Below are 23,671 nucleotides of genomic sequence, written 5' to 3' on the forward strand. Positions count from 1 at the left end.
TGACCAGATTAAATTAATCCACTTTTTAAAAATGTAATTTTCCTGCACTGTGCTTTCACTTTGACCGCTTAAAATTGACACCAACCAATTTAAAAATATTATTACATGTCTTCTATATATTGTACAAGGAGTTATCCAATACTTGTACATAATTTATCATGTAAGGCACACTAAGATATCTGAGTGCTGTAATAAAGGTACAAAGAAAAAGTGATGTTGAAGTTCAGAGAAGGGTGAAATTACTTTCAGTTTTTCATATTGTTAAAATATAAGAAAATTAAATGAGAAACAGTCTAGGAGCTGTGGCGGGGGCTGTGAGTTACCTCAAATATCCATTCCTCTCCATCGTCTTCATAGTATTAAAACACTTGGTTTTTACTTGAATATATGTGATATGGTTTGGCTCTTTTTTTTTTGAAATGGAGTCTTGCTCTGTCACCCAGGCTGGAGTGCAGTGGCGCGATCTGGGCTCACTGCAAGCTCTGCCTCCCGGGTTCACGCCATTCTCCTGACTCAGCCTCCTGAGTAGCTGGGACTACAGGCGCCCGCCACCACGTCCGGCTAATTTTTTGTATTTTTAGTAGAGACGGGGTTTCACCGTGTTAACCAGGATGTTCTCGATCTCTTGAGCTCGTGATCCACCCACCTCGGCCTCCCAAAGTGCTGGGATTACAGGTGTGAGCCACCGCGCCCAGCCTGGTTTGGCTCTTTATCCCCACCAAAACTTCATTTCAAACTGTGATCCCCACGTCAGGGAGGGACCTAGCGGGAGTTGATTGGATCATGCCAGTGGTTTCCCCCTGCTGCTGTTCTGTGAGGGAATTCTCAGGAGATCTAGTGGTTTATAAGTTGCAGTTTCCCCTGCACTCATGCCTCTCTCCTGCCACCTTGTGAAGAAGGTACTTGCTTCTCCTTTGCCTTCCACCATGATTGTAAGTTTCCCCAGGCTTCCCCAGCCATGTGGAACTGTGATCAATTAAGCCTCCTTCCTTTATAAATTACCCAGTCTCGGATATGTCTTTATAGCAGTGTGAAAATGGACTAACACAAAAATATGGTTGCCCAAAATAAAGACTATATTTTCCAGCCTGCTTTACAGTAAGGTCTGCACAAGGAACTAAGTTCTAGCCAATGGGATGGAAGCATATTTGGTATATGCAACTTTGGGGAAGAGTTCTTAAAGATTTGGGTATGCTTTTCCCTTTTTCTTTCCTCCCTATTCCTGGCACCAGTGATGGTTAGATCAGGAGCAGCCACCTTGGATCAGGAGGTAGAAGCTATGTATTGAGGATGGTAGAGCAAGAGATAGACAGAGAAAATAATTGAGGCCCCTGTTGATTGTGGAGCAGCTGTATCATTCCAGGGCACTGCTGTGAGAGAAATTAGCTTTTTATTGTCTAATTCACTATTATCTTCACTATTCTGTCAGTGACAGCCAAGCGTAATCTTAACTAAGATAAGATATAAAGGCAAGATAGTGGAAAGATAGGGCATGTAGCAGATTTTGCCAAGTTTTAATATATGAGGAAGTCATCTGCAGAAGAGATAGCTAAAACCAAGACTGAATGAGTCTACCAAAGGAAAAGAGAGCTGAGGGCAGATCCTCTGGATATATCTTCATTTAAGAAGTGGGACAAGCTCAGCAGAGTGATTCAGCAAGTGAGCTCAAAGTCACAAAGACCAAGAGAGAAAATTTGTGAAGAAGGAGGGGATTAATAAGTACCAAGCAATAAGAGAATCTAGGGCAAGTGGTGAGGAACTGCTTAAAAGGAAAAACCACAGAACCAGATTCCAATCAGTTTTGCCTTGGAATTCCAAGTATTCTGAGTAAAATCTCTGTTCTTTAGTACACAGGGTTAAAAATAAATTTTAAAACAAAACAAACAACAACAAACTTCTGTAAAGGCCATATTGTTAAGACCAACAACTATTAGTTAAAACCCCAAGAAATAAAAAGGATACTTGCCCTTATTTATAATGATTCCCTTACACCTAATTACTTTTCACCTCTTAACCTAGATGAAATCAGACAAAACCTCTTGGCTTCAGCTGGTTAATTAGAAGCCAAATCTGACCATGAAAAGCAAATTCAGAACCATTATATAACATCAAAAAGTCCAAAAGGCACACATTTCCTTCTGAATAAACAATGCTTACAAAACTAGCCAAAATTAGCTCAATCAGTGCCACTGAGGAGAAGAAACCAGCTTTTCCCATTTCAACCTATCTTCCTTTTTTATGTTCATAATTTTGCAAATATCAAAAACAGGAAAAAAATGAAAATAGCTATAACAGATACGCACTTTACTAGATTCAAGCTGACAGAGAGAGTCATAGCAATGTAAAGGCCGCAGAAGTTATGAAATTATTTTCTCCTGTTAATACTGTCAGGCATGAAGAAATAGAGTCTGGAGTAGAGACAGCATTTCATGACTACTGACCAAAACTCTTCAGCTTCTTTGACTATAGAAGGTCTTTCCTTTTTTTTTTAGACAGTTTTTTTTTTTAAACCAAAAGTCATCAAATCAAGTTTGTGGCTTGTGACCAGGATTTTTTCAAAGAAAAAGAAGAGATGAGAAAATAGACTATATCAAACAATATACCAAGTAAGGATAGGTTTTGTTTTAGGAAACTGCTTTCGGTTACGTGTTTGTATGTAAGTGTGTCTTGAATTGCTACGTAAAAACGTGAGCTTTCTTACTCTGTGGATTACAGTAAAGCAATCGTGTGAAAGCCATTGTTCTGGGAGACAGGCCTATTAATCAGGCATGTCCTATACTTATAAAGAGGGCTGGTGTTTATCTGAATGGAAGCAAACATGGCTGGCTAAACTAGCAATGAAGGATTTAAACTATTTGTTTTGGGGAAAAAATTTATATGTGTGTGTGTGTGTGTGTGTGTGTGTGTGTATTACACTCAAGTAAGAATCTCTCAATCAGCTAGGAGGAGACGACTTCCCATATAAAATTAGAAATAGGAAGGGGAAAAGGAAGAAAGGGAGGAAAGAAAAAGTGTAAGAAAAAAATTGAGGAATCTGTTAAACTTGAGGAACTCCTAGGATGTCCATTTCTACCTAAAAAAGTTCAGAAGACAGACAAAAAAGGGCAGAGAAGTACTTATTCCCAAGTGGAGAATATCTTCTTGATGAAACTGAAGTGGGTCCTGAGTAGCAGGGCCTGTTTTTGGGGCTTGAACAGGTCTTCTGACTAATAGGAATAACTAACATCTATTAAATGCCACTTCATAATTTCCAGCTGATTTAAACTTCACAACTTTATGAGGTAGGCCCTAACATTTCTCCTGCAAAGAGGATGGGGGTGGCACAGGTGGTTGCATGGGTGGGCAAGGAGAGCAGGTTAAATTCCAGAAATATTAAAAGCAATTGTCAGAGGCTGGGCACGTGGCTCATGCCTGTAATCCCAGCACTTTGGGAGGCCGAGGCAGGTGGATCACGAGGTCAGGAGATTGAGACCATCCTGGCCAACATGGTGAAACCCCGTCTCTACTAAAATACAAAAAATTAGCTGGGCGTGGTGGCACGCACCTGTAGTCCCAGCTACTCGGGAGGCTGAGGCAGGGGAATCACTTGAACCCGGGAGGCAGAGGTTGCAGTGAGCTGAGATCACGCCACTGCACTCCAGCCTGGCGACAGAGCAAGACTCCGTCTCAAAACAAGCAAATGAGCTTAAAAAAAAAAGAAAAAAAAAAAACAGTTGTCAGAAAATATTCCTAGTCATGGGTATTAGAGTATGGAACTTTTCCCCCTAAGGTCCTAATATCTAGCAATTCTAATCAGTATATAGACCAGTCCAAAATTGACATGTAATCATATTACTTACATTTTTCTTTGTCAAAACCAATATAACAGATATTTTGCTTTTTATTCTGGGAATGGCAAGTTAGTAGACATGTCATCCTTATGTGATTTTAGTCCTGCATTTTTTGACATTATTAAATGCAATAATTCATAATGAATTAATATTAATACTAATGATAAATCAAATCCAATGACAGTAGGATTTTTAAATTCTATTAAAATTAGCAGGTCTTCTCATTTCAGTCTCTTTGCTTCAGCAGCATGTTATAAGAATTTTGACCAAAGACCTTTCTCTCTATGCTTTATATATTCTTGATAAATTATAATTTCCACTAATCTTATTCCCTGTGGATAGGTAATTCTTTTTCAAGGCTGACATATAATTATTTTTTTAAGAGATGTAGAAGGACCAAACCAAATAATCATTACTTTTCAAAAAGGCAACATTGATCTCACTTTTTAATGTTTAAAGTGCACCACACAAGGCAAATACTCCCCAGTGAGAAAAAGAAGATAAGGTGCAATTTTTCAGAAAATGCTATTGCATAGGCTTAGTCTGATGTGAGTCTTCCTTGGAAGCACCAAAGTCCTGAGGTTTAAACAAATCAGGAGAAATAATTTTGCGTTTCCGGGCCAGGGCAAAATTCTGCTTTAATCACTGAGCTGGCATTAGTGGGACTTTTAACATTAAAAAAAAAAAAAAAAAAAGTCCCACTAATGCCAGTGATTGCCCTATTCCTAAAGCCTTTAGCCAAACATTGTAAGGACAGCCTGGACTCAAAGAAGGGGAGTGAGGCTGGATCAAAGTCCAACATCAAACTAAGTTAAGACCTTTGGATTAGAAAGTCGGCCTGCACACTGGGACCTGTTGTGGGGTGGGGGGAGGGGGGAGGGATAGCATTAGGAGATATACCTAATATTAAATGACGAGTTAATGGGTGCAGCACACCAACATGGCACATGTATACATATGTAACTAACCTGCACGTTGTGCACATGTACCCTAAAACTTAAAGTATAATTAAAAAAAAAAAAGAAAAATAAAAAGTCGGCCTGCAAAGCCAAAGTTGCAAGTAAGCAGGAGGGCTCCGCATGAAGGACAGGTCGAGGCCAACTCCCTAAGTGTTGATCTGTCTCAGCCTCAGCCTCAGTTTCCTTATCAGTAAAACGGGGACGAGAGTTCCCTGCGAAGATTAACCAAGCTAATCTAGGTTAAAAAAAAAAAAAAAGAAAAGAAAAAGAAAGAAAGAAAAGAAAAAAAAAGTTCCTGGCATGTACCAGTTGCTCAACTCTTGAGTGTCCTTCTCGGTTTAAACCGACGGGGGAGAGTCAAAGCCTCCGGAGCCAGAGGGCGGCTAAGGCCCGCACGGTCCCCGGGCTGGAGGCGACCGAGCCCGTTACCTGATCGCGTTGACCGGCGGGTTTCGGAGGCGGATTAGCGCCAAGGCGTTGTGCAGCCGCGTATACTCGGCCATGTTTCCTCTATCACCGAGGGCACCTCTGCCTCTCGCCGTCAGGCAAACCACTTTTCCGGGCGCGCCCGGCCTCCTCCAGAGGAGGGACGCCGGCTGGGCCAATGCGAGCCGGGGCGCCGCCTCCCGCCGCGCCTCTTCCCACCCAGCCCTCCTCTCCCGAGACCCCACCCGGCGCTCTACAGACGCTTGTCGCTTTCCCTTTATTAACTCCCATGCTGCTCCCACCAGAAGGTACAGCAAGGAGAATGATGGAAAACAGCTGTAATTGCCGGCAAGTCGAAGTTTGTAACCCCTTGGCCCATAGGGGCTGGCTACTGAGGACAAGTTCTGAGTTCGCTGAGACGGGCAAGCTGTCCTCATCGCGGTATTCATCTTCATGATCTTTCTGAACAGGGACAGATACCTGGGGCCCTCCCTGACAGTTATGTGATATTGATACACATCTGGAACACATAAAATACACATTGTTCATTTCACCTAAATGAGTAGGGTACTAATGAAACAGCCTTTGCAAAAATTCTAACAGTGAGAAAATTATGGCAGTCAAAGAGATCTGATTTAACCAACCCCATCTTGCCTTTAGCTGCCCTTAATTATTCCTGAGCTTAGGCCAAGTTAACTTTGGGAGACATTTGGTTTATAGTTTAAATGATAATAGCCCTTCCCCAAAACTCAACTGCCTTTGTAAAGCTAACCGAGAGACCACCAGGCTAGGAGGACAGAGGAGTGTGAATTCTCTCTGCTAAGGTGTAAACATAGACCATTGCCAGCCATTATTCCGGAAGCCACCAGATAGACAACTTCCCCATTTACTCCTGCAGGTAACATTACTATTGTAGAACCTAAGTTTGGCCTTTTGAGATATTTTTTCACGTTTGCCTGACACTGATGGCTCCACCTGGACCAGTCAACAGCTCCTGTGGCCCCACCCACAAGCAACTCAGTACAAGAGGATAGCTTCAACCCCTATGATTTCATCTCCAACCCAACCAGTCAGCATTTTCCATACCCTAGCCCCTGCCCACCAAACCACCTTTGAAAAACCCCTAACCTACTAGCCTTCGATGAGATTGATTTGAGTAATAACTCCATGTCCCATGTGGCGTGGCCAGCCTCACATCAATTAAACTCTTTCCTTACTGCAATGCTGTGGTCTTCCTGAATTGATTTTGTTTGTGCAGCAGGCAGGAAGAACCCATCCAGTGATTACTCTAACATCAACCAAATACTTATATAACATTGTTACTAGAGGAGGGTCTGGACTGCAAGTTGTCCAGGTTCTTGGCGTTTTGAACAAAGAATTGGACGAAACACACAAAGCAAGGGAAAAACAAAGCAACAGAAGCGAATATTTATTGAAAACGAAAAGACACTCCACACGGTGGGAGTGGGCCCAAGAAAGAGGCCCAAGGGACCTTGTTACAGAATTTTCTGGGGTTTCAATACCCTCTAGAGGTTTCCCATTGGTTACTGGGTGTACGCCCTATGTAAATGAAGAGGACGAAGTGAAGTTACGAAGTCATTTACTCAGTGTACACCCTATGTAAATGAAGAGAATATTTCCTGTCATAGCTGAAGTGTTTCCATTTGATTTAGTTCTAGAAAGTCTTTAGGTTCCCTGCCTTCAGGCCCTATACTCCTGCCTCAACATCTTTTTTTTTTTTTAATTTTTATTTTTTGAGACGGAGTCTGGCTCTGTCGACCAGGCTGGAATGCAGTGGCGCGATCTCAGCTCACTGCAAGTCCGCCTCCCGGGTTCACACCATTCTCCTGCCTCAGCCTCCCGAGTAGCTGGGACTACAAGCGCCCGCCACCACGCCTGGCTAATTCTTTGTATTTTTGGTAGAGATGGCGTTTCACCGTGTTAGCCAGGATGGTCTTGATCTCCTGACCCTGTGATCCACCCGCCTCGGCCTCCCAAAGTGCTGGGATTACAGGCGTGAGCCACCGCACCCAGCCCACAACATCATTTTTATTTGTCTTACAATCACATGCAACTAGCGAAACTGTTATGGGTGGACGGTGTCCAGGTTCTTGGCGTTTTGACCAAAGAATTGAAAATGCAAAACAAAGCAAGGAAAGAATGAAGTAGCAAAAGCAGAGATTTATTGAAAATGAAAGCACACTCCACAGGGTGGGAGCAGGCCTGAGCAAGTGGCTCAAGGGACCAGTTACAGAATTTTCTGGGATTTCAATACCCTCTAGAGGTTTGCATTGGTTACCTGGTGTATGCCCTATGTAAATGAAGGATGATGGTTGGGTGCAGTGGCTCACACCTGTAATCCCCGCACTTTGGGAGGCCATTGTGGGCAGATCACAAGGTCAGGAGTTTGAGACCAGCCTGATCAACATGGTGAAACCCTGTCTCTAATAAAAATACAAAAATTAGCCCGGCGTGGTGGCACATGCCTGTAATCCCAGCTACTCAGGAGGCTGAGGCAGGAGAATCACTTGAACCTGGGAGGTGGAGGTTGCAGTGAGCTGAGCTTGCACCACTGCACTCCAGCCTGGCAACAGGCGAGTCTCCATCTCAAAAAAAAAAAAATAAATAAATAAAATGACAATTTAAATGTTTAAATGGCCCATCAGGTAGCCAAATGTACCTGAAGCTTTGATTGTAAACCAAACATTGGTTATAAACTATTTTAGCAATTTATAAGTCAGCAAACCAGTATATATTTAATCTGGATCATTTTATCTTTTCCATGATGAGTCACGGAATGCAGAAACTTTAATAACAAAAGCTTTAAGGACTCAGGAAGAACAAGGTGGCCATCTTGGTTTTCCATGAGTCCATGCTTAACACTGGACTTATGTCCTCTTGAATACCAGTTGTTTCTCCAATTTAGGTGCATAGCACTGATAACTAATGGGTTTTCATAGCTGATTTGACTTAGACCATGGAGTTCAAATGACTTTAAATAGTGATAGTTAAAAACACTATTGACAAGGAGATTTGGTTATTTCTGTGGTCTACAATAACACAATAATTATGATTGATAGCATATACTCAGACATATTAGAATTTTAGAAATTCCATACAATTCTGGAACATATATTAATATCATTCACTAATATATAACCTGAAGATGATTAAACATTATTTTTTATTTTCACAATGCTTCCCATGTAACTAAACATATCAAATAATCCTGTTTACCTCTCTTTTGGATGGTTCACGGGCCTGCTGTAGCATCTCAAAGTTTGAGGTCAGAAAAGACAATTTTGAAGCTGCAATTTGATTTTGGGAAGCTTGTTAAATGTTTATAAAAATTAACATTCTCATGCCTTCTCATTATATTTTACCATTCATTCAACCAGTTTGCACAAAGAGGGGCCAGAAGTCCAACTGGTAAGAAATTCTTACCCTTTTGCCGGCATGTCAGCTTTCTTGAGTTCTCTCTCCATGAGCAGCCCTAGTGACCCTGCTCAACTGTATGCAAACAAACACATTGCTATGAATTAAGAATATTCACAAACAATTTACAAATTTTGAAGAAATTAGGCAGAGAGAGAGAAATATGACTCAAGTTCTATTTACAAAAGTATACTCAATATACTTAAAGTATCAGGAAGCCTAATATCCAAAAAGTTAGTTTAAGGTTAAAAAGCTTAGTGTGCTCCACCAATTCCTGTGAGCTCAACAAAGGTAGCCTAGGAATTCCAGATAAATGGAACAAATGATGACTTGGTAGAAATGCATAGAAAATAAAATAACTATTCACAGAACCAAATAAAAGCCTTCCACTAGAAACTAAAACAACAAACAAAAAAATGGTTTTCTATTTATGCGACCACAAGCAAAGCCTGGAGGAGAATAAACAGCAAACAAATGAAAATTAGAAGCAAAAACAAACAGGAACCCCACCCTAAATTTTTCCTACTCAATCTACCCTGGAGGCTACAGTGTTACTCAGGGCCCCCAAACACCCATATAATGAATATTTTATTCCTGATACACCATTCAATATCCTTAAGTCCACCAATATCATCATACATCCTGTACAATCAAGAAATTCACTCTAGGCACATGACCAATAAGTACTCCAGTGCCAGCACTATCCATGCAAAACAGTAAACGGTGTGAAGCAATGCATGCATGTATGTGAAATTTAGCTCCATACTTAACCAGCTTCATGCTTAAGTATATTAAAAAATATACTTATATTTCTTATTTTACTTTAGGCAAGACTAAGAGCTCTAACTATGAAATGTTAATTAGTCAAATTTCTCCAATTTTCTATCAGGTTTTAAGGAATATTTTATTATCTAAACTTTTTTTTTTCACATTTCTCTCCCCTACTTACTGGTTCCTTACTACATTGTTTCATAAATAACCTTTTCTTTTTTTTTTTTAATTATACTTTAAGTTCTAGGGTACATGTGCACAACGTGCAGGTTTGTTACATAGGTATACATGTGCCATGTTGGTTTGCTGCATCCATCAACGCGTCATTTACATTAGGTATTTCTCCTAATGCTATCCCTCCCCCAGGCCACCACCCACCGACAGGCCCTGTTGTGTGACGTTCCCCTCCCTGTGCCCATGTGTTCTCGTTGATCAACTCCCACCTATGAGTGAGAACTTGTGATAGTTTGCTCAGAATGATGGTTTCCAGCTTCATCCATGTCCCTGCAAAGGACATGAACTCATCCTTTCTTATGGCTGCATAGTATTCCATGGTGTATATGTGCCACATTTTCTTAATCCAGTCTATCATTGATGGACATGTGGGTTGGTTCCAAGTCTTTGCTATTGTGAATAGTGCTGCAATAAACATACGTGTGCATGTGTCTTTTTTATTATTATTATACTTTAAGTTCTAGGGTACATGTGCACAACGTGCAGGTTTGATACATAGGTATACATGTGCCATGTTGGTTTGCTGCACCCATCAACTCATCATTTACATTAGGTATTTCTCCTAACGCTATCCCTCCCCCAGCCCCCTACCACCTGACAGGCCCTGGGGTGTGATGTTCCCCGCCCTGTGTCCAAGTGTTCTCATTGTTCAATTCCCACCTATGAGTGCGAACATGAGGTGTTTGGTTTTCTGTCCTTGTGAGAGTTTGCTGAGAATGATTGTTTCCAGCTTCATCCATGTCCCTGCAAAGGACATGAACTCATCCTTTTTTATGGCTGCATAGTATGCCATGGTGTATATGTGCCACATTTTCTTAATCCAGTCTATCATTGATGGACATTTGGGTTGGTTCCAAGTCTCTGCTATTGTGAATAGTCCTGCAATAAACATACGTGTGCGTGTATCTTTATAGTAGCAAAATTTATAATCATTTGGGTATATACAGTAATAGGATTGCTGGGTAAAATGGTATATCTAGTTCTAGATTCTTGAGGAATCACCACACTGTCTTCCACAATGGTTGACCTAATTTACACTCCCACCAAAAGTGTAAAAGCATTCCTATTTCTCCATATCCTCTCCAGCATCTGTTGTTTCCTGACTTTTTAATGATCACCATTCTAACTGGTGTGAGATGGTATCTCATCGTGGTTTTGATTTGCATTTCTCTGATGACCAGTAATGATGAGCATTTTTTCATATGTCTGTTGGCTGCATAAATGTCTTCTTTTGAGAAGTGTCTGTTCCTATCCTTTGCCCACTTTTTGATGGGGTTGTTTTTTTCTTGTAAATTTGTTTATTTGTAGATTCTGGATATTAGCCCTTTGTCAGATGGGTAGATTGAAAAGATTTTCTCCCATTCTGTAGGTTGCCTGTTCACTCTGATGATAGTTTCTTTTGCTGTGCAGAAGCTCTTTAGTTTAATTAGATCCCATTTGTCTATTTTGGCTTTTGTTGCCATTGCTTTTGGTGTTTTAGTCATGAAGTCTTTGCCCATGCCTATGTCCTTAATGGTATTGCCTCAGTTTTCTTCTAGGGTTTTTATGGTGTTAGGTCTTACGTTTAAGTCTTTAATCCATCTTGAGTTAATTTTTGTATACCGTGTAAGGAAGGGATCCAGTTTCAGCTTTCTACATATGGCTAGCCAGTTTTCCCAGCATAATTTACTTACTAGGAGATCCTTTCCCCGTTGCTTGTTTTTGTCAGGTTTGTCAAAGATCAGATGGTTGCAGATGTGTGGTGTTATTTCTGAGGCCTCTGTTCTGTTCCATTGGTCTATATATCTGTTTTGGTACCAGTACCATGCTGTTTTGGTTACTGTAGCCTTGTAGTATAGTTTGAAGTCAGGTAGCGTGATGCCTCCAGCTTTGTTCTTTTTGCTTAGGATTGTCTTTTAGATAACTTCTGAATTAGACAAAATTATTCTTTTTCTCATAAACAACACAACTTTTTCAGGCACATTTTGTATACAGAATTATGTGTTAACTAGAATTCTTATCCTTAGTAACCTAAAACTTTAATGAAATCCTAAAAAGCAAGAAATCCTGAACTATCAGATATGGGCATTTTTAGATAAGAACAATTATACAATTATACATATTTCCCCATATCACAAACCTTTCTTAATTGGAAATGACCCAGATATTCAATGAACAACCCAAATAATTTTAAGATTTTAATTTACATAAAAAGTTTCCCTAAAACATTTATTCCATTCACTGCACTCAGTTCATTCCCCTTTTTGTTTTTTGTTTTTTTTTTTGAGACAGCGTCTCACTCTGTTGCCCAGGCTGGAGTGCAGTTGTATGGCCTTGGCTGACTGCTACCTCCACCTCCCAGGTTTGAGCAATTCTCCTGCCTCAGCCTCCTGAGTAGCTGGCATTACACGCGCCTAGCCATCGCGCCTGGCTAATTTTTGTATCTTTAGTAGAGACAAGGTTTCACTATGGCTGGTCTCAAACACCTGACCTCAAGTGATCTGCCCACCTAGGCCTCCTAAATTGCCGGGATTACAGGTGTGAGCCACTGTGCCTGGCTAATTCTTTTACTTTTTTAACAGTTTATCTAGATTACTTCTGTAAACTGAGGTATTAGACATTATCATTTAAAGTTAGTTGTTTCCTTGTTAACCATGTTTTCAATAGCCAGTGAACATCAGGTGCTCACCTAAACCTAAGTAAGAGCCTCAAAGTTAAATACATTGGTATTTTTACCAGTAACTCAGAAGATTTAGCAAATAATATTAAATTACTCTCATTTGTCAAAAAAAAAAAAAAAAAAAGGCACTCAAACCAAGATCATTTTGTTTTGGCTGGGTTATAGTTTTATAACCTTCTATGCCAAACACTGACATCTCAAAGTATCTAGCAAAGACAAACATAAAATCCAGACCAACATGTATGCTGACAGTTCTGAAGGCATACCTATTTTTATTTTATCAATAATTTTAAAACAAACTTGTTTAGTAAATTATACTTAAGTCACATGAATTTGAAATTGCTTAGATTTATTTACTTAATATATGAGTGCTCTTTTACTTATGTCAACTTGGTAGACATCATATAACAATAAGTGTACATACAAATAACCACATCTAGACATGTATACACACACACACACACACACAAAGATCCGATAGCTTGGAATGCTAGCCATGAGATAGCAATATAGGCTTGCCAGTTTTACTTTGTTTGCCCCAATAGGTAATACAATGCTGTGAACCAAAATTTCAGGTAAAGCAGTTTTCACGGCAGTTTGATATTTAAAGGCCAAACCTCCCCAGATTCCAAAGAACACTGGGGCCGAACAGCACCAAAGAGAACCTCACATACTAACCAGTCCTGACCCTGCTTAAAACAGCAGCCCAAAAGCCTGGATACATGCAACTCCATTCCACTTTTCCATTCAACAGCGAACTCCAGATTCCAAACAATATTGGGGCCAAACAGTATTGCAACTGCCAGAGAAAATTCTAAGCAGGGCTTAGTACTAGGCCTCAGAACCTCTGCCGAGGGTGTTTCCTTTGGAGAGGTTGAGGTCCAGAGGATCCCCCGGGGCACCCCCTTTGGGGTCCAATCTGAGTGTCAGACATCTCTGACTTTATGTGGGCACAGGTGCTGCTTTGCATGTTTTCCTTCCAGAGGCAATGCCCTACTCTGAGCTTTCCTTTGGTTCATGGGTATAATCCCCGACTTTTAGCATCCTTATAATTTGATAAGTCTGCGCTTTCCCATGCTTCCCATTCCACGAGAGTGATAGCCATGAACTGTAATGATAGAACTGGAGGCTGGGTGAGTTTCTCTTGTCCTCAGCTGAATAGGGTAAGGGAAAAATTTAGCATAAGACAAGAAGGGTTGGCCAGGTGCGGTGGCTCACGCCTGTAATCCCAGCACTTTGGGAAGCCGAGGCGGGTGGATCATGAGGTCAGGAGTTTGAAACCAGCCTGGCCAACGTGGTGAAACCCCATCTCTACTAAAAATACAAAAATTAGCCAGGCGTGGTGGAACACACTTGTAGTCCCAACTACTCAGGAGGCTGAGGCAGGAGAATCACTTTAACCTGGAAGGTGGAGTTTGCAGTGAGCCAAGATCACGCCACTGCACTCCAGCCTGAGTGACAGAACGAGAATTCGTCTCAAAAAAAAAAAAAAAAAAAAGAGGGTTTAAGTCACCTGAAACACATTCGAGTTCACCCTGCGTTGCACCACACATAGTTAGCTATAATTTAAAGGGAATTATTTATAATAGTCTTTTAAGATTGGTCCCCTATATTAAAACAAGATTTTCCTAAGGTATTGATTTGCTCTTACTGAAATTAGAAAAAATTTTACTTTCAATTTTATAATCTATTTCCTTTATTTATATTATTTATTTTTTTAGAGACAGAATCTCGCTGTGTTGCCCAGGCTGGAGTGCAGTGGCACAGTCTTGGCTCACTGCAGCCTCCGCCTCCCAGGTTCAAGCAATTCTCCTGCCTCAGCCTCCCAAAGTACTGGGATTACAGGCGTGAGCCACCACACCTGTAATTAAAATTAAAATTAAAAATTTTTAATTAAAAAAAATTTTATTTATTTATTTATTTTGAGATGGAGTCTCGCTCTTGTTGCCCAGGCTGGAGTGCAGTGGCATGATCTCAGCTCACTGCAACCTCCACCTCCCAGGTTCAAGCGATTCTCCTGCCTCAGCCTACCGAGTAACTGGGATTACAGGCATGCACCATCACGCCTGGCTAAATTTTGTACTTTTAGTAGAGACGAGGTTTTACCATGTTGGTCAGGCTGGTCTTAAACTCCTGGCCTCAAGTGATCCCCCCGCCTCAGACTGCTGAAGTGGGATTACAGGCGTGAGCCACTGTGCCTGGCCTATGTTTTTTTTTTTTTTTGGAAATGGAGTTTTGCTCTTGTTGCCCAGGCTGGAGTGCAATGGTGCGATCTCGACTCACCACAACCTCCACCTCCCAGGTTCAAGTGATTCTTCTGCCTCAGCCTCCCGAGTAGCTGGGATTACAGGCATACGCCACTACGCCCGGCTCATTTTGTATTTTTATTAAAGATGGGGTTTCTCCATGTTGGTCAGGCTGATCTCGAACTCTCGACCTCAGGTGATCTGCCTGCCTCGACCTCCCAAAGTGCTGGGATTACAGGTGTGAGCCACTGCGCCCAGCCTGCCTATTTCTTTTAAAAACTCAGAATCACATCTCAGAAGTTCAACTTTTGCCAAGTTTTGCTGCTCTCAGCTTTTTTTCTGCTTGAGAAGGCCTGAGATGATCTTTCCTTCAGCTTTTTTGCCAGCTCCTGTAACTTTCTTTCATTTCCTCTAATTCTAACTATTATGACCTGATGCTAAAATGTATTATCTTGAAGGTCTAGAAAAGCAATGTTTTCCTGTAGCATAACCTGATTCTGTACTTTTGGCTTTTCTTGATATGCCAAAATTTTCAATGTAATCAGAAAACTCTTCTTTTCTTTCTCTTTTTTCTTTTTTTTGAGACAGAGTCTCACTCTGTCGCCCAGGCTGGAGTGCAGTGGCGTGATCTTGGCTCACTGCAAGCTCTGCCTCCTGGGTTCATGCCATTCTCCTGTCTCAGCCTCCTGAGTAGCTGGGACTACAGGCGCCCGCCACCACGCCCAGCTAAGTTTTTGTATTTTTAGTAGAGACGGGTTTTCACCATGTTAGCCAGGATGGTCTCGATCTCCTGACCTTGTGATCCGCCAGCCTTGGCCTCCCAAAGTGCTGGGATTACAGGTGTGAGCCACCACATCCGTCAGAAAACTTTTCATACTATTCCTTAGAGTCATGTATTCCCCCTGCTATCCTCATAACCTTGAACACACTCTTTCTGTGTCTGATTAAATTCAAGCACTTTTATCAAGTTTGACTTCCAGGTTATCTAAATGGGCTTCCCATAAGTAGAAGCAGTCACGCTGCAATAGGTTTTTCTTTGTCTTTTTGGTAACCGGCTTAAGAAATAAGATTTTATCATTCCTATGCTGTCTTTATTAGGTTTTTGATTGCTAAAACAAACAAACAAAAAACAAAACAGGCCCAGCACAGTGGCTCATGCCTGTAATCCCAACACTTTGGGAGACCGAGGCGGGCAGATTACCTGAGGTTGGGAGTTCGAGACCAGCCTGACCAACATGGAGAAACCCTGTCTCTTACTAAAAATACAAAAGTAGCCGGGCATGGTGGTGCATGCCTGTAATCCCAGCTACTTGGGAGCTGAGGCAGGAGAATCGCTTGAACCTGGTGAGAGAGGACTAGCTGGATTTCCTAGGCTGACTAAGAATTCCTAAGCCTAGCTGGGGAAGGCGACCGCACTCACCGTTAAACACGGGGCTTGTAACTCAGCTCACACCTGACCAATTAGGTAGTAAAGAGGGCTCACTAAAATACAAATTAGGCTAAAAGCAGGAGGTAAAGAAATAGTCAAATCATGTATCGCCTGAGAGCACACAGGGAGGGACAATGATCGGGATATAAACCCCCAGCATTCGAGCCGGTAGGGGCAACCCCCTTTGGGTCCCCTCCCATTGTATGGGGGCTCTGTTTTCACTCTATTAAATCTTGCAACTGCACACTCTTCTGGTCCGTGTTTGTTCCGGCTCGAGCTGAGCTTTCTCTCGCCATCCACCACTGCTGAGTGCCGCCGTCGCAGACCCGCTGTTGACTCCCACCCCTCCGGATCCGGCAGGGTGTCGGCTGAGCTCCTGATCCACCCAGCAAGGCGCCCATTGCTGCTCCCGATCAGGCTAAAGTCATTGTTCCTGCATGGCTAAGTGCCCAGGTTCGTCCTAAATGAGCTGAACACTAGTTGCTGGGCTCCATGGTTCTCTTCCATGACCCATGGCTTCTAATAGAGCTATAACACTCACCGCATGGCCCAAGGTTCTATTCCTTGTTATCCATGAGGAAAAGAACCCCAAGTCAGAGAACAAAAGTCTTGCTGCCATCTTGGGAGTGGCCGCCACCATCTTGGGAGCAGCCGCCACCATCTTGGGAGTTCTAAGAACAAAGACTCACCCTGTAACACTGGGAGGCGGAGGTTGCGGTAAGCCAAGATCATGCCATTGCACTCAGGCCTGCGCAACAAAAGCGAAACTCCGTCTTAAAAAACAAAAAACCATCTGATATTTAAAAGGGTTACAGTTTTTACATCCATTTAACTTTCTGTATTGCCTTTGAGGTTTTTTAATTATCACTTATCACTCTTGGTTAAATGTATGACTTATTTTACAATAACCTGTGATTCTGTTTTAATCAAATGTTTTGAGCCTGTTTACATCTTAAACAAATGTCCTCAAAATCAACATCCTAAATTAAGTCTCTCAGTCTTATTACCGGGGCTTATTGAGGCTACAAAAATTAATCACTGCAAGGCTGTAGAATCTTTCTACAGCTTCTAGTCAGACCATGAACTCCAGTATCACCACCTTAAGCCTCATAATTACATATGCTGGAAGAAAACCAGTTAAAGGACTCCTTCTTGTCCCCTTAAAAGGGTCCTTATCAGGTGTTATTAATTAATCCTTGTGCTATGTTACAGGGCTTTGACTCCTGGGTACACATATCTCATCTGAAGAAGACATTGAGTCCTGCCAGTATCTCACACCAAACCCAAGTTAACCAAAGCCTTGTCTTTAGACCTGAGCAAAAGTGGCAAAGTAAACTGCTTTTTTTTTTTTTTTTTTTTTTGAGACGGAGTCTCCCTGGCTCTGTTGCCCAGGCTGGAGTGCAATGGCTCAATCTCGACTCACTGCAACCTCCGCCTCCCAGGTTCAAGCAATTCTCCTGCCTCAGCCTCCCAAGTAGCTGAGATTACAGGTGCTTGCCAGCACGCCCAGCTAATTTTTGCATTTTTAGTACAGATGGGGTTTCACCATGTTGGCCAGGCTGGTCTCGAACTCCTGACCTCAGGTGATCTGCCCACCTCAGCCTCACAAAGTGCTGGGATTATAGGCGTGAGCCACCTCGCCCAGCCATAAACTGCTTTTGTGAGACACAGGGACAGACCTGTATTCAAAACATTAAAATTCATTTCATTTAATAATTTTGCCTTTATCTGAAATTATATAATTTTTTCTATGCCTTGATACTAAATAATTTAAATGTTTGGCTACCTATGGGCTTCCTTTCCTATCATTCTTTAGAATTAGGCAAGGCCTATGACCTTTTGTTTAAAACGTTGCTAATTTTTAAATATTTTGTTTTACCTACAGAATTTAAAACTATTAAATCCCTCCAGGCGGCCCAGGGACTATCACATGAGATTGTTAGGGCTGGTCCTGAGGGATAAAATTAATTCAGACCCTCCTAATCGAGGCCAGGTGCACAGATGCCTATGCAGCTGAAAAAAAAAATGCTTGTGTCTTGTATAGCTAATTGCTAAAGCCAAGATTACAATAGATCAATGCATAGAATTTATAGAAAAGTCAATTTTATGACCTTTGTTTTTGGCTCGTAGGTTGCTTAAAAGGGGTTTTAAGGGTTGATGAATGCCTGTCCATCTCCATTCCCATCTGGCCTGTAATGTTTAATTGGCTATAAATCTTTTGACTCTAAGTCCCTTGCCACAGGGTTCCCACTGAAGGACATGATGGACCCGAGGCAGGTGGCAAGTCACCCCAGCATCAATATGGGACAAAATAAAACTTGGCTATTGATACTGCCTCTTTCATACCTTGACAAAAAAAGGAAATATATGAACAAAAATAAAATCCTAAGCCCCCCAACAGAATGAACACCCCTCTTGGCCAAAAAGAATAATAAAAAAAAAAAACCTGAAAAACTAGTTCAGCCCATGAAGGAAATGGGGGGTTGGACACACCTTGCTATACTCCCCCCACCACCCCTTGGAATTCAGGCACAACTGACCAGCCTTAATATTAAAATAGAGCTTATAAGACTGACAGATTCTTCATGGCAATAAAATATCAAATTATAAACAGAATCTAAGATTATGCCAAGGAAGGCTTAATTCTCCACCCCAAGGTAAACAGTCATATGTTACTTCCGTGTTTGTTCAATATACATGCATCAGGACCATTTTCATAAATATTCGTAGCTTCCCTGTTCAACCAGGAGACTTAGTCTTATTAAAAACTTGGAGACAAGGATTCCCCGAAGATCAATTTTAACCAAAATGGAAGGGCCCCTATCAGGTGTTGCTAAGCACTTCAACTGTTGTTAAATTTGAGGGAGTCACTAGCTGGGTATACTTGCCAAAGATTAAACCTGTTTCTTATAAGGCCCCACAGGCACCTGAGAAAGACACCGTGACCTACACTTGTGAACCCCTAGGACACCTAAAGCTGTTGTTTTGCAAATAAACACATAAGTAACAGCCTTAGTCCCTCCTACAGGTACTCAGCCTTCTTAACAACTCCTATCCCATACAGATTTGCACCCCCAATGGATATCTATGGCTATGTGGTCACCCGTTCAATCAGCCTATAAATAACTTGTGTTTCGTTTGGGATCATAAAACACATGGTTACCAGGATATTGATAATGTTTGGTTTCTGGATCAATGTACAATAGGACAAGCAGAGCCCCCTAACATACAATTATATGACATCACTCACCTGAGCGCTACGTGGGCAACTGGACTTATATTGGCTAGGGTTGGAGCTCGTTGGCCCCATGGGGCAACTTCTCATTAAAAGTGCCCTCCCAAGTCTTACTTGGTTTTTGCCCTTCCTAGGACCTTTGATGGCTATCTTGTTATTACTAATCTTTGGCTCTTGCTTGTTTAACATCTTGGTGAAATTTGTGTCATCTAGATTATAATAATCCCATATAAAGATGATGCTGGCACAAGGCTTCTAACCTGTCCTATCTTCTGAGTTGGGAAATAAAGACATCCTGCCTTTAGGCCTCTTAGATCAGGCATCCAGATATTTTTACTCCTCCTTTACTAGGCAGGGCTATGCTCATAAAATCAGCAGGAAGAAGTTACAGAAGAATGACTTTTGTCCTTCATCTCTCCTTAAGATTAAGGGTTCTCTGATAAGCAAAGGGAGGATTATGTTAGGGAAATAGAAGCATGGGAGACCCAGGGTAACACCATTTTAAAATCAACTCCATCTTAAAACTAGCAAGGCACATCCCTTGCCAGTGATGACCAGCAGTCATAAGATGTTTAAGGCTAAGGAAACAGCTTAATAATGCCTGCAAGGATCAGTTCCCAAAACAGTGGGTCACAAGACCCCACTGATAAAGACAGGAGACAGTAAACAACAGGTCACATGACCACACTGATAAGACAGGAGACCGTAAAGAAACCAGCCTAAACCAGCTAGAAGCAAGATGGCAAAAAAGCAACCTTCAGTACTCATTATATGCTAATTATAATGCATTCGCATACTAACAAACACTCCCACTAGTGTCATGATAGTTTACAAATGCCATGGCAACATCCAGAAGTTACCCTGTATGGTCTGGATGGGGGAGAAACCCCCAGTTCCAGGAGCTCCCAGAAAACTCATGAGTAATCCACCCCTTGCATAGCATATAATCAAATAGCTATAAAATAGCCAGCTAGCATCTCCCTCAATGCTACTCTGCATATGGGGTACCCTGCTCTGCTTATGGAGCAGCCACTCTTTTATTCCTTTACTTTTTAATAAACTTGTTTTCACTTTACTCTGTCGGCTTGCTCTTTTTTTATTATTTTTTTAAGACGGCATCTCCCTCTTTTGCCTAGGCTGGAGTGCAGTGGCGCCCTCTCGGCTTACTGCAACCTCTGCCTCCTGGGTTCAAGCAATTCTTCTGCCTCAGCCTCCCGAGTTGTTGGGGTTACAGGCACGCGCCACCATGCCTGGCTAATTTTTGTATTTTTAGTAGAGATGGGGTTTCGCCATGCTGGCCAGGCTGGTCTCGAACTCCTGACTTTCAGATGATGCACCCGCCTCAGCCTCCCAAAGTGTTGGGATTACAGGCATGAGCCACTGCTCCCAGCCTGTTGGCTTGCTCTTGAATTCTTTCTCGTGTGAAGCCAAGAACCCAATTGGCCTCGTGAGCTGAACCTAAATTTGGGGGTTTGCCTGCAACACTACTACTGTAACTGGGTCACTTGAGATTTTCAGCACCCCAGCATTTTTCAGTGACTGAAATAATGAGAATTCTGATCAGGACCTTGCTTGCTTGCTCATGTTAACCACTCGCTTTTTACCCAATATCCGTTTTTCCCACAATATAACTATAAACTTCTGATGTGCTGTTTCTTTGTCAAGTGGGAGGAGATAACTTCAGGGTCACAAAAGGTGTTTGCCGAAGGAATGAATGCATTGAAAGCTATTGCAACCAGCTGCTGACGCCCAGAACTCTGGTTGTTCAAGGTGTTATGTGGGACTGAAGAAACAGACTTTTCACCTTGATTCCCTAAAACTCTCCCTCCTTTATTCTCTAGCCACATAAAAATTCCCTGCTTTTTCTTTTTGTTAACATGGATTTGAGACATCTTGCTTTCCTACCTTGTTGCTTTGGCCAAATAGAACAAACCTTCCTCTATCTCCAAACTGCTATGTGTCAGTGTTTGGCATCAATTGCACATCGGGTACAAGAGCCTGAATTTGGGCTTCTACTAGAAAAGTACTGACTGCCTTGAAGCCCTGGTAACAGTAGCAGTTGAGACCCCATTCAATTCAGCAAGGACAACTGCCTCAATGGTCAATGACAATGTCTCGATGACAGCCAATCATAAACAGTCCTAAGCACATGCTTCCGTGTGTTGACAATCAACAACAGCCTCATCACAGCAATCACCTTCTTACAGGTGAGATATCAATCTCTAACACCTCTGCAAATTCGCTGATCCCTGAACTCCACTGTGCCCTAAAACTCTATGTAAGATCAACAGCTTGTTCTGCTTGGAGAGACTGTGCATAGCCAGCACAGTTTTCCCTTACTATAGCAAGCAATAAATTCAGTCATCTTGCTTCAGATATTGGTCTTTAGAGGAACAACCCTGCCAGGGTGTTCTAGCAACTTTGAACATCTCCACAAAGGCTAAGTAGGCAAGGCTTCACAGCTCTGAATAGCCTGAAATTCCTCCTGGAGCAAGGCGAGATAATGAGCATGGTGCGGAGCCACTTTGAGGCAGGCTCTCCTCTGTCTGGTAGGAGTCTGTCACAGGCCATTTCTCATTTATCCTCCTAGTTTCAACTGAATGCAGAACTTTCTGCCTTGTGCCCCCACCTAAGGGTTCGGCTGCAAGCTTCTGTGAAGATCTATAAAAATGCTTCGCAGTAGTTTAGGGTTGGCTCTTAACAGGGCAGGGACTAGGGTGAGGCAAGAAAGACACCTAGTGGACAAAACTGGGGGGCACAGTAACAGGGCTGTGCAATGCTGATCCTGCCCTGCTCCTCAGCAACAGAGCAACTCACCATTCCTGACATCTGTCATCTGGTTCCTCTGTTTGGTGTCATGCTGTGATACTAGGGATACAGGGAGCTGACACCATGCTGACTTTCTTTTCCAGTAAATACTAAACTGTCTAAATCCATCTGGGCTTCTTACTTGCTGAGTCTATGGAAGACAAGCCAATTTAGCAGCTGCTACCATGCTACTGCTTATAGACTGCTTGACCACTTGACAGTCTCCTTATCATTGTTATGATCTGATATATTCTTAAATTATCTCCTCATTTAATTTGTTTCAGTAATTGCTACTTAACAGGATGCTGGTCCTCTTGGCTAATGCACTTCCACACCATTTTCATGTTAGTGCTTTTGCTTGTTAAATGCGTTGGTTGGGCTTGTTGTCATTATGTCGCATTATATCCCTAATTCACAAAAGCAGATCAGTTCATCAGAAGTGGTTCATTAAAGCTTAAAACAAAGATAAAAGAATGGAAACACTATAATTTAGCATAATGCCCAGAAGGCAAACGGTGAGCTGGATTTCAATGCAAATGCCGAGCTTTTGCCTGCTAGAACATGCAAATCTATTGTCATAGGAAGAACAGAAATGGCTATCTAAACCCAGCTTTCCCTGCAATGGTGATCTATTAGCCCTGGAACCCAGGGTGCTGCATGTGAAATGTCATTCAATAGTGACACGAAGCCATCAAAACTGACTTCTCTGGTAAACCAATCAGGTTTTTCTGGAATAAACAAAATAATGCTTTCCAGTCTGGGTGATTAAAGACTGTTAAGGAAGCAAGAAATAAATTTGAGTCTGTTTGTTAACAAATTTTACCCTGCCCTAAATGGGCACTGGGTACAATCTTCCAGGGTGAAGTTGGCTGACATTCAAGGAAAAAAGCAACTCACATAAATGTTTGAAATGAGAAATAGGATGGCCAGGCGTGGTGGCTCACCCCTGTAATCCCAGCACTTTGGGATGCTGAGGCAGGCGGATCACCTGAGGTCAGGAGTTCGAGACCAGCCTGGCCAACATGGTGAAACCCTGTCTCTACTAAAAATACAAAATTAGCCGGGCGTGGTACCACACGCCTGTAGTCCCAGCTACTCGGGAGGCTGAGGCAGAATCGCTTGGACCCAGGAGGTGGTGGTTGCAGTGAGCCAAGATCGCGCCACTGCACTCCAGCCTGGGCAACAGAGTGAGACTCCATCTCAAAAAAAAAAAAAAAAAAAAAAAAGAGAGATAGGATGAAAATAACTTCTTCACAATACCAATGTGAAAGTTGTCAATCTCAAGATGGAGTCACTCATGTCAAACCCAAACAAAAAAAGAGTCAGGTTAGAAAGGGAAAGCCCTCCTGCACACATGCCTATGATAAGAACTATAACAAAGACTCTGAAAGTCTCTTATGCTCTTATGCACATATGCCTGTAACAAGAACTTTTGCCAAAGACTTTCTAACCTGCATCTTGCTTCATGAATCACAGGACAGCTAGCCAAATGCGCAAGAATGCTTGCCTGGTACACTGTCTCCACTAATGAACTGACATCATCTTCTGTGATAAGCCACTGTAACCAATGTTCTCTTTGTTTCAAAACAAATTATGTGTACTTCTTTTGCCTTTAAAAGTTTTCCCTTACCTCAACCTC

General features: G+C 42.0%; 1 protein-coding gene and 1 non-coding gene across 3 annotated transcripts in view; both read right to left on the reverse strand.

The window, feature by feature from the left end:
• The window catches only part of EHHADH (enoyl-CoA hydratase and 3-hydroxyacyl CoA dehydrogenase), a 63,426-nt gene extending 58,107 nt beyond the window's left edge, over window positions 1-5,319 (reverse strand). The window contains exon 1 of one of the 2 annotated variants that reach the window (NM_001966.4): window positions 5,219-5,319. In NM_001966.4, the coding sequence (NP_001957.2) occupies window positions 5,219-5,292 (74 nt within the window). In that variant the 5' untranslated portion in view covers window positions 5,293-5,319. Of the gene's footprint in view, window positions 1-5,095 lie in introns of both variants that reach the window. The other variant, NM_001166415.2, reaches the window with a different exon arrangement.
• MIR5588 (microRNA 5588) lies at window positions 4,480-4,542 on the reverse strand. The gene has a single exon (NR_106712.1). It is a non-coding gene; the product is annotated as a microRNA 5588 (primary transcript).

The sequence above is a fragment of the Homo sapiens genome, chromosome 3, assembly GCF_000001405.40.
Source record: "Homo sapiens chromosome 3, GRCh38.p14 Primary Assembly".
In the NCBI taxonomy this organism is placed as follows: domain Eukaryota; kingdom Metazoa; phylum Chordata; class Mammalia; order Primates; family Hominidae; genus Homo; species Homo sapiens.